Here is a 14,630-nt window from a genome sequence, read left to right as displayed (position 1 = left end):
TTTTTTGTACTACCATTTTGCTTTTTCATATCAAGATGCCCAAAACTGTGACTCAAGGAATGAGTGCCTTTACTGACTGACTGACTGGCTGGCTTACCTAATGAGTAAATAATAATAACCAAGTACATATATAAAGTGCATTCTCATATAGCCACAAAATGTCGCCCTCTCACCTGCCACGTTGGGAAACAGGGTCCAGAAAAGGAAGAGCTTATCTAAGGTCACGTTAAGAGATTGTGCCAAAGCTAGGATTAGAATCTAGATTTCATTACCTCCAGCCCAGATTTTCTCCTTCCTAATATTAGTTCTCCCTTCTTTTCTTTACATTCCCACTGCTGCCATCTAAGATCAGGCCCTATCCCTCCTACCTGGACTGCTGCCATTGCCTCCTAACTGTTCTCTATGCTCCCAGCCTCAACACCTCCAGTCCATCCTCCACCTGGTTGCCAAGGTGATTTTCTAAAGTGCAAATCAGATCATGTTCACTCTGCTGTTTAAAGTCTTACAGAGGCTCCCATGGCCTATGGGATGGAGTCCCCTGACCCACATGACAGAGAATGATCCACCCCGTGACTCCCAAGCCTGCCTCTCATTTCTCTCCTCAGTCTGTTTTCCAGCTGGGTTCAAATGTCTACAGTGACCATAACCTTCAGGTTGTTTCACATCACGGTGGAGCCTGTCCCAATTCCTCCTGTGCTCTCTGCCCAGACCATCATCTCAACCTCTTCTCCCTTGGTTAACAGCTTCTTAGGCCTTCTAGGTAGACAGACAGGGGATTTTCTTTTTTTGAGGATTTTCTTTTTTTGAGATGGAGTCTCACTCTGTCACCCAGGCTGGAGTGCAGTGGCACCATCTCGGCTCACTGCAACCTCCACCTCCCAGGTTTAAGTGATTCTCCTGCCTCAGCCTCCCAAGTAGCTGGGATTACAGGCACCCACCACCATGCCTAGCTAATTTTGGTATTTTTAGTAGAGACAGGGTTTCAACATCTTAGACAGGTCTCGAGCTCCTGACGTCAGGTGATCCACCCACCTCGGCCTCCCAAAGTGCTGGGATTAGAGGCGTGAGCCACTGCACCCAGCTAGGACTCTTTTACTGAATCACAAACTCTATCCTCTTCCCCTCCCCACACATAATTTCTCCCTCATTAGAGGTGATCGCTAAGCACCTCATATATTTTCTTCTATCTTAATAGCGGTAACAGGCCTTTCACTTTCACTTAGTTTGTGAATCCTCCCAGTTCTGTGAACGTCTTAAGGGCAGGGGCTGGGCTATTCATGTTTGTATTCCCAGAACCTGGCACTAGGTCAGGCATATAATAGATGCTCCATTACACTGCTGCTGACTCTCTGGAATAAATATAGCTTCCATAACCCTTCACAGTGAATTAACTCAACTTATGGTTTTCTTTAAATTAAGCCTCACATGGAATGATAGTTGAATTATGTAAGACTTAAAGGAAAGAGAATGTATTTAAAGAAAACCAGCTCTTGAAAATGCCTTACTTTTATAGGTGGTGAACAAATATTTCGTAGCAACCATGGGATAATGTATCAGCATATTGGTAATGCAAAGTAGACGGGGCCACTGAATGTGTCTCTGAAGCTCTTTGCCACTGCCTTCCCACTGCGTCTCTCTTTAGCCCCCAGTTTACTGAAAGAAGTCAGTGTGGTTACCTATTCGGTGAAAAGAACTTGTGCCACATTCCGATCTTTCATCGTGGAGTAGATTTTCAGCTACATTTCCAGCTCCGTTGTTAAACCCATTCCTGCCTGATTTGCCAATTGCTAAAGTGTTCATTTGTTTTATTTATTTATGACGCGAGTCCCTTGGGTTCAAAAATCGCTTCAAAATGCTACTGCTCCATCTGGTTTAAATAGAGCATACTAGGAAGAAATAAGAGAAACAATGGGACCGTGAGGTTGAAGGAAGAAAGGAACAGTCTGGCAAACAGGAAGCAGAAGGAAATTAAGATTCTTTTTTCTTTCTTTATGACTTTGTGCTGGGGGGAGGGAAGCTATTTTCAGCAAGAAGATATGGTTGCTATCTGGAAGTTCACATTTCTATCTGCAATGATCTGATATTCAAAATCTATGAGGTCTGAGTCCATGAATGACTGTGAATCATGTTCAGGCAGGCTAGTCTCCAGGGCCGGGGACAATGGCCTTTGTTCTTCCCTTTTCTTATCTGTTTCATTATTCTCTTAGGCACTTAATATGCTGAACACAGGCAGCCCTGTAGGATGTTCTTTCCACGCAAGGGTAGACATTTTGGCTTTGGACTTTCTAGATTCTCCAGCAGAAGAGCCATTTACCTTGCTAATGCTTTTCATTTGTTTGAAGTCCTTGAAGGGCATGGTGGTGAGAGATTTAGTTAGAGTCCCAGCTCTGTTGCTTACTACCTGTGTGATCCTGGGGACACGGCTTTGCTTAACCTCTGAGCCTCAGTTTCAATAGCTCTCAAGTGGACCAATAATACTTATGTATTAAGCTTGTCAAGAAGATTAAACAAGCTATGTAAGAGGGCTTCACAGTAAACACTCAGGAATCAATAGCTATTTTTATAAGATCTGACTGTACTTCATTTTACATGCCCTTTGGGTTTTACAGCACTCCTCTGTGAGAAAGATACAGAAGGCATTTTTGGCCCAATTTGACACAATTGCATGAGGGAAGGGGCTCACAAACCCGAGAAACCCTGCTCCCAGTGATTGGTCCCTTTCCGATCTGTCACCTTTGGCTTGTGGTTGCATATCCTCTCTTCACCTTTTCTAAAGAATGACTCAGAGCTTTTCCTTTTGACAGCAAACCCTCTGAAAGAGAGACAATAGCAATCAAATACTTTGGCATTATTCACCCGGAGAGCTAAAAGCTGTCTCTGCCTTCCACATTTAGAGTGTAGGATACTGCTTTAAAAAGCACTAAGCAAGGACAAAACAATGTGATTGGGTCACATCTTTAATTTGTATTACTTTCCCTTTTATCAAAAGGGAAGTGGACAGGGTACGGTGTCCTCCACAAAGAAGGGTAGGAGAGAAGGGTGGAGCAGCAGGCACAGAGCTGCCTTCGCCGTTCCCACACCCTACTGCTATGCACGGTTTGATTGCGTGTTGCCTGCTGTTCATTTGGCCCTTCCTGAAGGGACTGGAGGGCAAAACAAGGACTCTGCTTCCCCAAAGTTGGGGAAGGTAATTAGAAGCTGCATACTACACTCAAACTGTCCAGTGACTATTCAACAGTACTAAAATAATGCTCAAATTCACCAGACAACTTTTCCTGTGTGCACTCATGCCCCCAGACCCAGCATGGTCAGCCAATCTACAGTGAATTTATTTCAGGCATGTGACAAGGGCTGACACTTCTCCTCAATTTGGTACTGTAAAAACTAACAATAATATGTTAGTTATAATAATACCAGTAGCTGTTACAATCAAAACTCAAAAAAAGGTTTAAACAATTAGAAGCTTATTTACTTTCTCAGAAAGTCTAAAGCCGGTCTTCTTGGCTAATGGGCAACTCTCCCCTGGTCAGTGATTCAGGAACTTTGGCTTTTCCACACTATGGCTCCTTCATCTTCAACATGTAGCTCTGAAGCCAAAAGATTCATTGCATCAAGCTAGTAGAAGGGAAATAACATGAAGGCTTGTGAGGGGATTATTTTTATGGGCCAAGCTTGTTCCCTTACATTGGCCAGAACTCACATTCCCTTGGCCCAGACTCAGACACATGGCCACACCTAATTTTTAGGGTAGAGTCTAGTTTTGTGCTCTAGGAGAAGAGGAAATGAGTTTGGTGAACCAGATAGTCTCTGCCTCAAAGTAGTAATGACAAAAATTAACATTTATAAAGCATTTGTTTTGTGCCAGGCATTGGCTAAGCCCTTTACCTACATTATTTTTAAATTCATATACCATATTATTCACTTGTTTAAAATATACAATTCAGTGGATTTTATTATATTCACAGAGTTGTGCAACCATCACCACAATTTTAGAGCATTTTCATCATCTCCAAAAGAAACCCCATAACTATTAGCAACTCCTCATTTCCTCCCACCCCCTACCTCCAGCCCTAGGCACCATCAATCTATTTTCCATCTATATGGATTTGCCTATTCTAGGCATTTCATATAAACAGAATACCTACATTCTTTTATATAACCCTCACCATGATCCTAAAAGTTAGGCATGTTATTACTTCCATTTTACAGATAAATTTACAGAGAATCAGGCTGTTTAAATGATTTGCCAATAATTTTAAGCCCTGCTCATCATTGAACTCCATTATGCTGTACTGCATCCCAGTCATATCATGCCATGATTTGTTGCAGGGAAGGGGTGTTTGTTTGCTTGTTTTCTAATGACTATTATGGCAACAAACTGACTTCTTTATAACAGGCTCCTTTACTGAAATGACAGGCACTTAGGTGTCAGAAAGCTTCAGGTTTGAAACTCAGATCTACCACTTACCGGATACATGAAAAATATACACTGCTTAGTTCCTCTTGAGTCCCAGCATCTTTATCTATAAAATGGGAATAACAAATTCCTGTTTGCGGGGAGGAGTCAATGAGATTAACATATGTGAAAGCTCTTCTCACAACTTTACGTAGTCCATGTCCTGCCAGTGTAGTTGTCCTTGCTTAGAAGTGAAGTTCTAACTATAATTGGGCAGCCACAGAAATTATGTTCACATGTCTGGTCTTCTGGATACCGTCCAGGAAAAAATTATTGTAACTTGCACTTTTCGGTATCCACGTTACAACCCAGGAGTGGCCGAGACCCTTGGAGAATCTGCTACAATGAGAATGAGAAAAAAGGGAACATATTCTCCAGGACAGCAAAGCATATGCAGAGTATCTTCTATCGGCTTCTGATCTCCACTGGGCAGAGCAGCTTGTTACAGGCACCTAGAACCAGCTGAGCCAGTGTAAGTTTGAAGTTCGTTGGGAAAGAAGATAAGCTGGCTGAGTTTCTGTAGGCAAAGAGCCAGTAATGAGGTTTCCAGCATTCCATCACACGTCCTTTTCATCACTTTCAGCTCAGCCAGAGACAGCAGAGCCTCATACGCAGGGGCCAAGTGTGTATTTGAGAGACTCGAAGAGGGAGAATGAAAAGTATTGTGAATGAGTGAATTGTACTTTTGTTCCATTGACCTGTTCCCCACCCTACCCTGTCCTTAGCCATAAATATATTAAAAGCTAGATAGGAGAGTACAGAGAAGACAGTGGAGGCAGTGGGGAAGTTATATTACGTGTGGCTAGTTAAGTTACATAGCCAGAAGAGGCCAGAAGAGAAAAGTGTCCTGAACTCTAGGTGAGATCAAGTGCATATTTCAGCCTTAAAAATTTATCCTAAAAACCTCTGATTCTGCCATTTCCTAAGTGCATGGAGAAGTGACAACCTCTCTGAACCTACATTTCCAGATAGGATTGTTATTGGAACCATGACTTAGAGCCATGCAAGCTGCAACGTGCACATGTCCAGTAGACTCCAGTCATATACACAAGGGGCCAGCAAACTTGTTTTGTCAAGGGCCAGATACTAAGCATTTTATATTTTATAGGGCATACAATCTTTATTGAAATAGTCAACTTTGCCATTGTAGTGCAAAAGCAGCCATAGACAATACATAAATACATAAATGGATGTAGCTGTGATTCAGTAAAACTATTTGTGGTCATGAAATTTGAATTTCATGTAACTTTTATATAAAAGTTTCATACAAAACAGTATTCTTTTCTGATTTTTCTTTCCACAAACTGAAAATGTGAAAAACATTCTTGGCTTATAGACTATATAAAAATGGACAGTGGGACAGATTTGCCTGCAGGCCATGGTTTGCAGACACCCCCCCCACCCCCACCCACAGCATGGACCGAAATGTTTGATACCCTCTACAGAGGTATAATATGGTGTCCAGATTATTGTAAAGAGCAAATAAGTACTTGTAAAGGCATTAATGTAGTGTCTGCCCCTTATAAGTGTTCAGCAAGTGGTTATTATTACAATTAGCTCTTTTAGAAATAATGAATATTGACTCTCTATTTGCCACTGACCTTTGAGGGGGGAGAGCCATTACATTTAGGTTGTTTAACATTTCTACTATATTAAACTTGTATTATAATTAAAATATATATTAAAAATAAAAACTAAAAAACTGGTTTGTACAGATAGTGGCACTAGTAGGCCACAGAGTTTTTGGGTTTTTTCTATTGTCCCAGTGTTGCTTCTTCAATTCCTAGATATTTCTTTAGTGCTTGGTCTGTGCTTCTGGGTGCTCCATAAATGAATGAGATTAGGTCTTTTCTGTCTAGGAGATCTTGGTATTCTTCAAAGTGATTATACGCACCCCAGTGGTAGCCAAGACCTTCTCTTTTTATTAATTTTTCATCACAGCCTTTAAATTTCTGTTTTGTTATATGTTTTATAGTGTGCCACACTGTGACACAGTAATACAGTTACACAATAATTTATAATATTTTATGTATATAAAAATACATAATTTATATTTACATAAATATTTATTAAATATTATAATAAATATAATATTATAATAAATATATTATAATATAAATATATATTATATAAATATATATAATATATATTATATATTTATGTAAATATATAATATTTACATAAATATATTTATGTAAATATCAATTATGTAAATATTAAGATAATGGGTGAGTATGCAAAGTGATTTTAAATGATGGTGTCAGCAAGCAAAGTTTTGAAACCACTGGTTTAGGAAGCAAACAGATGAATATATCCCAATGGGAAACCAGATTTGGTATGAGTGATGAATGTTCTTATTCACAATGACACAAGTGTTTTCAGGACATAAACTGACATTTAGTCTGGTGTCTTGTTTTGACATTTAATGTAAGTACATTGTGTGAGAAACAAGATAGTTTACATTTTTTTTATTTCATAAGAACACAACAGCTATATGAACTAGATAATATTATCCTCATTTGATAGATGAGGAACCAAGGTTTAATTCAGAGAAGTTAAGCAACTTGCAAAGGTCAGCTTGAATGAATCAGGACTGTCTAACTATAAAGCATGACATTTTCCACTTTAGCCTTCATTGCATTGAAGAAGTTCATAAAAAAAGATGATTAGTCTCTGGTATTCCTACTATCAAGTTAGTCTTTTTTTCCATCACATGTACTTATGTTATTAAGTGCTAAATGGATAAAATTTCACTCCTCCAGAGTTCCGTGGTTAACCCCCCACCATCTCTTTGCATATGCTTCTTACTCTGATTGCAACACTTGTTGTTTGGATATCTCAATATCTCCTACTCATCTATTAAGACCCAGCTTAAGACTCATCCTCTCCTTCCAGAAGCCTTCATGACCTCAGTCTCCAGACTGAGTTATTAGATGCCATTGCTCTCAACCTCTATAGCACCTTAATGAAAGTCCTTATAAAAATATGCTATGCAGCTGTGTAGTTAGCTATTATCTATTAAATTTATTACTCCCTGGACTGAGAGCCTAAGGAGAGGGAGAATATGACCTTGATTACATCGTTCTTCTGGCATTCAACGTAATAATGTAGTGCCTGGGACATCGTAAGCCCTCCATATATACTCACAGAATGAAGGAATCTCTTCTTTACTGATTTGAAGTCTGAGATAACTTTGGCAAAGGGATAGATTGAAGTGGTCTTAACTAAGGTTTCTCAGGATAGGACAAATTGGTGGTCCCCAAATTAGATTATAGGGGACCAGATAATAGATAAACAAAGAAGGCAAACTCTTATATGTAGGAAGGCTTTCTCCTTCTGAGTTTTCTCAGAAATTGAAGAAGGTACACACAATCATACCACTCAAATTTATATTAATGATGTATATGACATCAATATATATTAATTTCTATATATACTTATGTTTATATGTATGCACACATACTCATGAACACGAATTCATAAAAATAGACTGCCACAATTTCTATAAACTGTCATGGGGATCACTGAATGTTCAATAAGAGGGTGAAGTTTATTAACACTCTCCAGGCTGGTCCATCTTGCAAAGTCATCCAGTTGCTGTAAATCTCCCTTAGTCCTAAAGTCGTTTCCCTTCTGGATGCATAAATCTTCACTTCTTTCTTTGAAGGGAACTAGCATTTACTGAAAGCTTTTTTATGGTGTTCTAGATACTTAACAAAGGTGATCTCATTTAATCCTCAGACATTCGCACAAGCCCACAAATCCTGAACCCGAAAGAAAATGGATCAAGTCAAAAGCAACTCAAGAATTTTACTGAAAACTAGGAAATCTATACTAAAAAGGAAGGGGACAAGACTAAGGAAATTTCTGAATAAATGAATATTGTTAAATTCAAACAAATTCGTTGCGTGGGATTATATCAGAATAATTTCGTGGTAATTAATTGAGATTGTGACCATTAACGTGGACACTTTGTTTATGAGCAGGGACCTCTACAGTTGATTGAGAGCACAGCTTCTTCTCTCTACCAAGTGTGTTACTGTTTGTGAAGAGCTTCCTTTTTTTTTTTTTTCTTTTGAGACAGGGCCTTGCTCTGTCACCCAGGCAACACAAGTGCAGTGACGTGACCATACCTCACTGTAGTGTCAGTGTGGCTCTCCTGGGGTCAAGTGATCCTCCTCCCTCAGCCTGCTGAGTAGCTGGGACTTCAGATGTATGCCATCATGACCAGCTGGTATTTTTTGTTTGTTTGTTTGTTTTAGTGGAGATGGGGCCTCACAGTGTTGCCCAGGCTGAGGACTTGTTTCATAAAGGGGACAGCATTGGAACATTTGTCTTCAGACATTTATGTTTCATAAACCAGAAACATTTCAGAACAAACTTCTATAGGCCACAGAATTGCCAACTTTTTATCTTGTCAATAAAATGAAAGACATTAAAAAACAAAATAAAAATTTACGAAAAAAATCCAACTACTGTTTATTCTCACCATCATTTCAGAAGTAAAAAGAACAATACCAAAACAATAGGAAGAAAAAATAAATAGCAGGAAGGCAATAATTCTATAATAAAAGAAGGTCATTTTAGCTCAATGAAAAATCACTGCATCCTACTTCCTTTTCTCAGTCTGCTCTGGACCAACAAGGGCCAGGGACCAGTGTCTAAGAACCACCGCCACTGTGCATAGACTTTGAAGCGGTACAGATTTTGATTTAAAGCCCGGCCCTGCCAATTTCTAGCTGTGAAACCTGGGGCAGGTTACTCAACTTTTCTCAGCTGCGATTTCCTCATGTACTAAATGAGGATAATATCTCACTGACTATACTCATTTCCTAAGGCTGCTGTAACAAAGTACCGTAAACTGGGTGGCTTAGAACAAGAGAAATGTATTGTTTCAACATTTTGGAGACCAGAAGTCTGAAATGAAGGTGTTATTTTGGCCATTCTTCCTGCGAAGGCACTAGGGAAATACCTGGTCTAGGCCTCTTCTCTGCCTTGTGGTAGTTTTTGGGTTTGTGGCACCATAACTCCCATCTCCACAAAACATTCTCCCTGTGTGCACCTCTGTGCTCAAATTTCCTGTTTTTATGAGAACATCAGCCATATTGAACTAGATGGAAGTAGTGGCCCACCGTATTCCAGTGTGACCTCATCTTAACTAATAACATCTGCAACAATTCTATTTCCCAATAAGGTCACATTCTGAGGTACTGGGGGCAAGGACTTCAACATGTGAATTTTGGGGTGACACATTTCAACCCACAACATTGACCAATCTCTGGAATTGTTGTATCAAAGTCATACACAGGATAGGCTGAATATATTAGAAAGTACCTATAAAGCATCAGAAAGAAAAATAAGGGAGGGTTGTTTGTTTTTAAAAAACAAGTTATAATTGAGAAATTTATAATGTAGGGACAGTAAGAAATTTGTGTAAGGATATAGGACTAAGAAGTAGTGAAGATAAGACTTCAAATACATTCATTTAATAAATACATATTACATATAACATTCATTTAATGTGTACATATTATGTGGCAAGTCCTGTTCTGGTGCTGGAGATTCAACCAAGGACAAAAAAGACAACGACCCTGGCCTCATGGAGCTTACATTCTAGTTGGGTAGAGGAGCAAAAGTAAAGAAATGAACAAAGAACTATAAAATATTTCATATATACATTTAATATACAATATTTAGTATATAATGTTTAAGCAGAGATAAGTACTATAAATTTTTTAGAAGTCTAATAAGAGGGAGAGATAAATGGAGGAATAGAGGATGCTGTTCTATACAGGATGTCAGAGAAATCTCTTCTTCCAAGGAGACACTTGAGCAGATGGAATTCTGGCTGCAGTGAAAGGAGCAAATTCCAAGTGAAAGGGGAGCTGCTGAAGGGAGCTGAGCAAGGAGTGTTGGTGTCTGAATTTTGTTTTAAAAACATGGCTGGCTGCTGTGTGGAGGAAGGGTGGCGGCAAGGCAAGAATGGAAACAAAGAAACCAGTGAGGAGGTGGTTGCAGAAATCCATGTGAGAAATGATAGTGGTATAGATTAGGGAGATGAGGGTGGAGATGGAAAAAAGACAGAGGGTACATTTTGAAGACAGAGTTGACAGGATTTGATGATGAATAAGGCATGGGGTGTAAGATAAAAAGGAGAGTCAAGAATGACTCCCAGGTTTTTGGCCAGAGCAACTAGGTCAATGATTGCGCCATTTATTTAAATGGTGCATACTGGGAGTAGAGCAGATTCAGGAGAGGAAACCAAGAGTTTAGTTTTGAGCATTTTAAATATCAGAAGCCTATTATTAAACAATCAAGTAGAGATGCTTAGATGTGGTATGCAGCTGGATATAAGAGTCTGGAGCTTAGAGCACAGATTGAGACTGGAGATCTACATGTGGTAGCCTTTGATCTACAGATGGCATTTTAGTCTTGATACCGGATGGCTAGCCTTGGGAGCGAGTATAAAAAAGAAGTCTAATGACAAACTTGGGGACACTCAAATTTAAAATATCAGAAAGCAGAGAAGCGCCCAGCAAAGGAGACGTAGAAGGATAGATTAGTGAAGTAGGAGAAAAACCAAGGGGGTCTTGATAACCAAACAGAGACAATGATCGATTCAGGGAAGTTGTAATTGATTCTGCCAAATGCTGGGAATGGTTGAATAAACTGAAAACTGTGCACCGGATATTGATTTTGTGAGTGACAATGTTTTCATTTACCTTGATAAGAACAATTGTAGTGGGAAGCCTGATTGAAGTCATTAAAGGAGAGAATGGGATGTGAGGAAGTGAAAACAGACACTAATGTTTTATGTTACCTGTTGCCGCAAGTGCTTAGAAGCAGTGGATATGAGATTTAAGAGAACAGGTGCTGTGGTCTTAGACCTCAGCTATTATTGTGACTGTGCCATCTGTTAGTAAGTTACCTAACCTTTCTAGCCAGAGTCCTCACCTATACGGTAAAGATAATAGTACAGACCATTTCAAAAAGTTGTTGTCAAGCTTAAATGAGAGATATGCATAAAGTTTTGTATATTGTCAGCCCATAATAAGTGCTCAATAAATACTAGCACCATCACTAATTTAAGCAAAATATTGATACAGCTTCAAGGTTCTACATAATTCATTATGTCTGAGAGTAATTGTTGGTTGAAGTGGTAATTATGAAAGAATATGTATAAAATTATGATTATTCGTGACAGGGGAACAGAGAAATGCTACAATATAAGAGTTATCATGACTCATATATATTAATTTTTCATGGAATGATGGTGGTATAGCCAGGTAGCAGGGGAAAATGGACAGGGAAGAAATGGCTCCTGAGGGGATTTGGGGGCTAAATGTAGGTGGAAGGCACTGAGAAGACTTCGAGACCAAGCCATTTCAGATAATAAGTGGATACCTACTTCAGACATATAGGAAGTAACCATTGATCTTGTAGCTGTAGTTATCACCTGTTCTTTGTTTACATCTGACTTTTCTTACCAGTTTAGAAGCACATGTCTTACTCCACCCCTTACCTCCAATTATATTTCTTACCTCTGCTCCTATAGTACCTACTATTAAGTATGGTCAGGAAAGACGGCATCTCATCCATGCGTATTCCAGACCTTCTAGTAAGACGCTCAGAGGAAAAGCTAAACAAAGAGAGAACAGACTGTATGTGAGCAAATTAAGTTGGCCACAGAGTTATTCTCTGGAAACATGGAGCTAAGAAAATCTCTCATGTCTAAACCTGCATATCCTGCAACATTACAGCATCACCTTGTCCCACAGAGGGTTACTTCTGATGGCTCTCAAGGAATGCTGACTGCATACCTTGAAGATAGCAGTTTCTGATCGGGAGGAGCTCATCAGATAGAGACCTCACCAGTGGCCAAATACTAGGTTATACTGACTTACGGTAGGAGTTAGCAGTGGAACGTTCAAGACAGAGATACCTGTCTTCCTGCTTGGCACACCATGACTTAGTGGCTGTAAGTGTATAGTTACATATAAAAGTTCATTGTTTTTATGGGTTTTGTGGTAGGAGCTTGTTTGAAAAGGGTGAGAGAAGCCAAGATGGTCTCACAGTGGATAGCAGACATGTTGCAAATTTGCTTTCTTGGGCTGATGAATTTATTTGAGTAATGGTGGAAGTAAAGCAGAGAGAAGCTAGTGAGCTGGGCCAGCAGCCCAGCACAGAGCCCTGGGCCCTTCATTCTCTTATAGAAAGCCCATCTCTGGTAGAGAGATGTTAGGTCTCTTTAGGGCTTTTTCCCCTTCACTGACTGGCAGGTTAGAAGACTCCTTAGCACAGTAAAATTAACATCTTAAAAGGTAGTTGAGGGAGAAGGTGTGGCAGAAATTCATTTTGTCAAAGGAAATACGGCAGGAATGAGAACCATTTGGGGGTACATACTATAAACTAGGCACTATATTTTCTTGATATTCTCCATTTAGTCTTGTGATGTACGTTTCAATATACCCATTTTACAGATAAAACAATCTGCGTTTTAGTAAATTAGTGGCAAAGACAGGGTTAAACACAATTCTGTTGAATTTCAAAACTTATCTTTTTATCCTTTCTACTAAAGGCCATAGTAAATCAGTCTGCTCTCATTGTTCATCTGCCTCTAGCAGTTTAGTGTAAAACACTACTTGGGGCCAGATAATATATATGAGTCTGGGCTTTGAAACTAAATTGCGTGGAGTCCATTAGAGCTCTGCCACTTAACAGATATATGATCCTGCGTGGATTAGTTGACCTCCCTGAATCTCAGCTTCTTCTCTGCAATATGTTGCTCATGATAGTACTTACCTTACAGGGACATTTTGAAGATTGAGTCAATACATGCTAAGCATTTAGAATACTGCATGGCACCTAAAATGTGTTCAATAGATATTAGCTATTATTATCCAAAACATATTTTCCAGTGCTGTTATTCGATGAACCTAAAAAGGTTAAACTGACCTTGTCAGGGAGGGAACAAAAAGCTCAGGCACTGCTCCCCATGAAGCCTGCCTATTAATGATTTTTGGTCAACAGTACTGTTTATGATTTCCAGTCTTCTCGTTTGCTGGGCTTTCATGCTCCAGAGGCAGCATGGTAGAATAGAAAGGCACTGTACTTTGCCATCAGAAGACCTGGGTTTGGGTTCAAGTTCAAATCACACTTTGTGTGACCTGGGCAAGTCACTTTATCTTTCTTGCCAGGGGTTCCTTATCTGCTCAGTAAGGGGGTAGGACTCCCTAATCTCTAGGACTCCTTGCATTCCATAAATTCAGTGAATACCAAATAAAGCCATTTAGTCTCTCTGATCTCTGGTGCTCATCTGTACTGTAGCACTCCTGATACCTTCTTTAGTCACTGAGAGACTCAGTGAGAGTGAAAGTGTTTGGTAGACTGTGACAGGCTATGCAAATATAGGAGTTGATCCTTACTATTAAGAGCTTTAACCCTGAGTAATACGCCTTGCTGTATGTGCATTGGTGCAGGGGCTTTTTCCACATTTTGTTGTCTTTGCCTACTCCTCACTGAGCTGGGTGGATCCACCTTAACAAGGTGTAGGGGAACACGAGCAGAGGATGGGGGTACACTACTGATGGTGGGAAAGCATCTTATTGGTTAATAGTGGTACATCCCAAACACCAATTACTGTCACTGCTTCTAAGGCTGATATATTTATCAGGATGAGTTACAAGGAAATATATGTACCCAGTGAGCGAGAATGCTGCATGGTCACCCCCTGTGATGTAAAATATGAGAATCTAGGAGGGGCTGTTTTATAATTCATCAGGTTCCGCTAGTGAGTTCTGTCAGAGTCTTAGTTATAAAGGCAAGTGTGAACCGGACAGCAGACAGGAGAACCTGGCACCAAGGAGACGGAGAAGCTGCCTTTGGTGCCTCCTGCCTCCTCCCTGCTTTGTTCCAATAATTTTGTGCTCGGTAAGTTCCTGGCTTTGCAGCTAATCGTTGTTGTTGAATAAGCTTGGCAAACGTACCCATAGTTTGGAATAGGCACTTGCTGTCAGAAGTGTGTGTCAGTGTTTGGGCTCCTGACAAATTCCACAATTTCCTTTTAACGAGCAAAATAGCTTAAAAGATGAAAGAAAAGCCGATGAATCAATTATTCACCTTGATCCTTGGAAGGCTGCTTTCTTTGGTTGCTAAAGTTTCTCAGGTTTCATTC

The 14,630-nt window shown here is 39.8% G+C and overlaps 1 protein-coding gene and 1 long non-coding RNA gene across 64 annotated transcripts in view, besides 1 other annotated feature; one reads left to right on the top strand and one right to left on the bottom strand.

Annotated features, from left to right (window-relative positions):
* The window catches only part of DLG2 (discs large MAGUK scaffold protein 2), a 2,173,362-nt gene that overhangs the window by 1,931,830 nt on the left and 226,902 nt on the right, over positions 1-14,630 (top strand). For 8 of the 63 annotated variants that reach the window (NM_001377982.1, NM_001377981.1, NM_001377980.1 and 5 more), the window contains exon 1: positions 14,256-14,386. The exons of the other annotated variants lie outside the window; for them this stretch is intronic. The gene's annotated coding sequence lies outside the window, so the exon portion shown is untranslated. Of the gene's footprint in view, positions 1-14,255; positions 14,387-14,630 lie in introns of those variants that run through there. 63 annotated transcript variants of the gene reach the window in all.
* Positions 1-14,630, bottom strand: part of DLG2-AS2 (DLG2 antisense RNA 2) — an 87,698-nt gene that overhangs the window by 28,847 nt on the left and 44,221 nt on the right. Inside the window, exons 7-10 of the long non-coding RNA NR_187249.1 lie at positions 12,019-12,095; positions 4,469-4,523; positions 3,473-3,615; positions 2,734-2,812 (exon numbers count right to left, since the gene is read on the bottom strand). This is a non-coding gene — a long non-coding RNA (DLG2 antisense RNA 2). The remainder of the gene's footprint in view (positions 1-2,733; positions 2,813-3,472; positions 3,616-4,468; positions 4,524-12,018; positions 12,096-14,630) is intronic.
* Positions 13,806-13,915: a silencer, noted in NCBI's record as "silent region_3821". NCBI's record gives its function as "represses an Ori minimal core promoter by ATAC-STARR-seq in GM12878 lymphoblastoid cells {active_cell/tissue: GM12878}" and the evidence as "EXISTENCE:reporter gene assay evidence [ECO:0000049][PMID:35858748]".

Source organism: Homo sapiens, chromosome 11 (assembly GCF_000001405.40).
Source record: "Homo sapiens chromosome 11, GRCh38.p14 Primary Assembly".
Lineage (NCBI taxonomy): Eukaryota > Metazoa > Chordata > Mammalia > Primates > Hominidae > Homo > Homo sapiens.
This window is presented reverse-complemented; position numbering and strand designations above follow the sequence as displayed.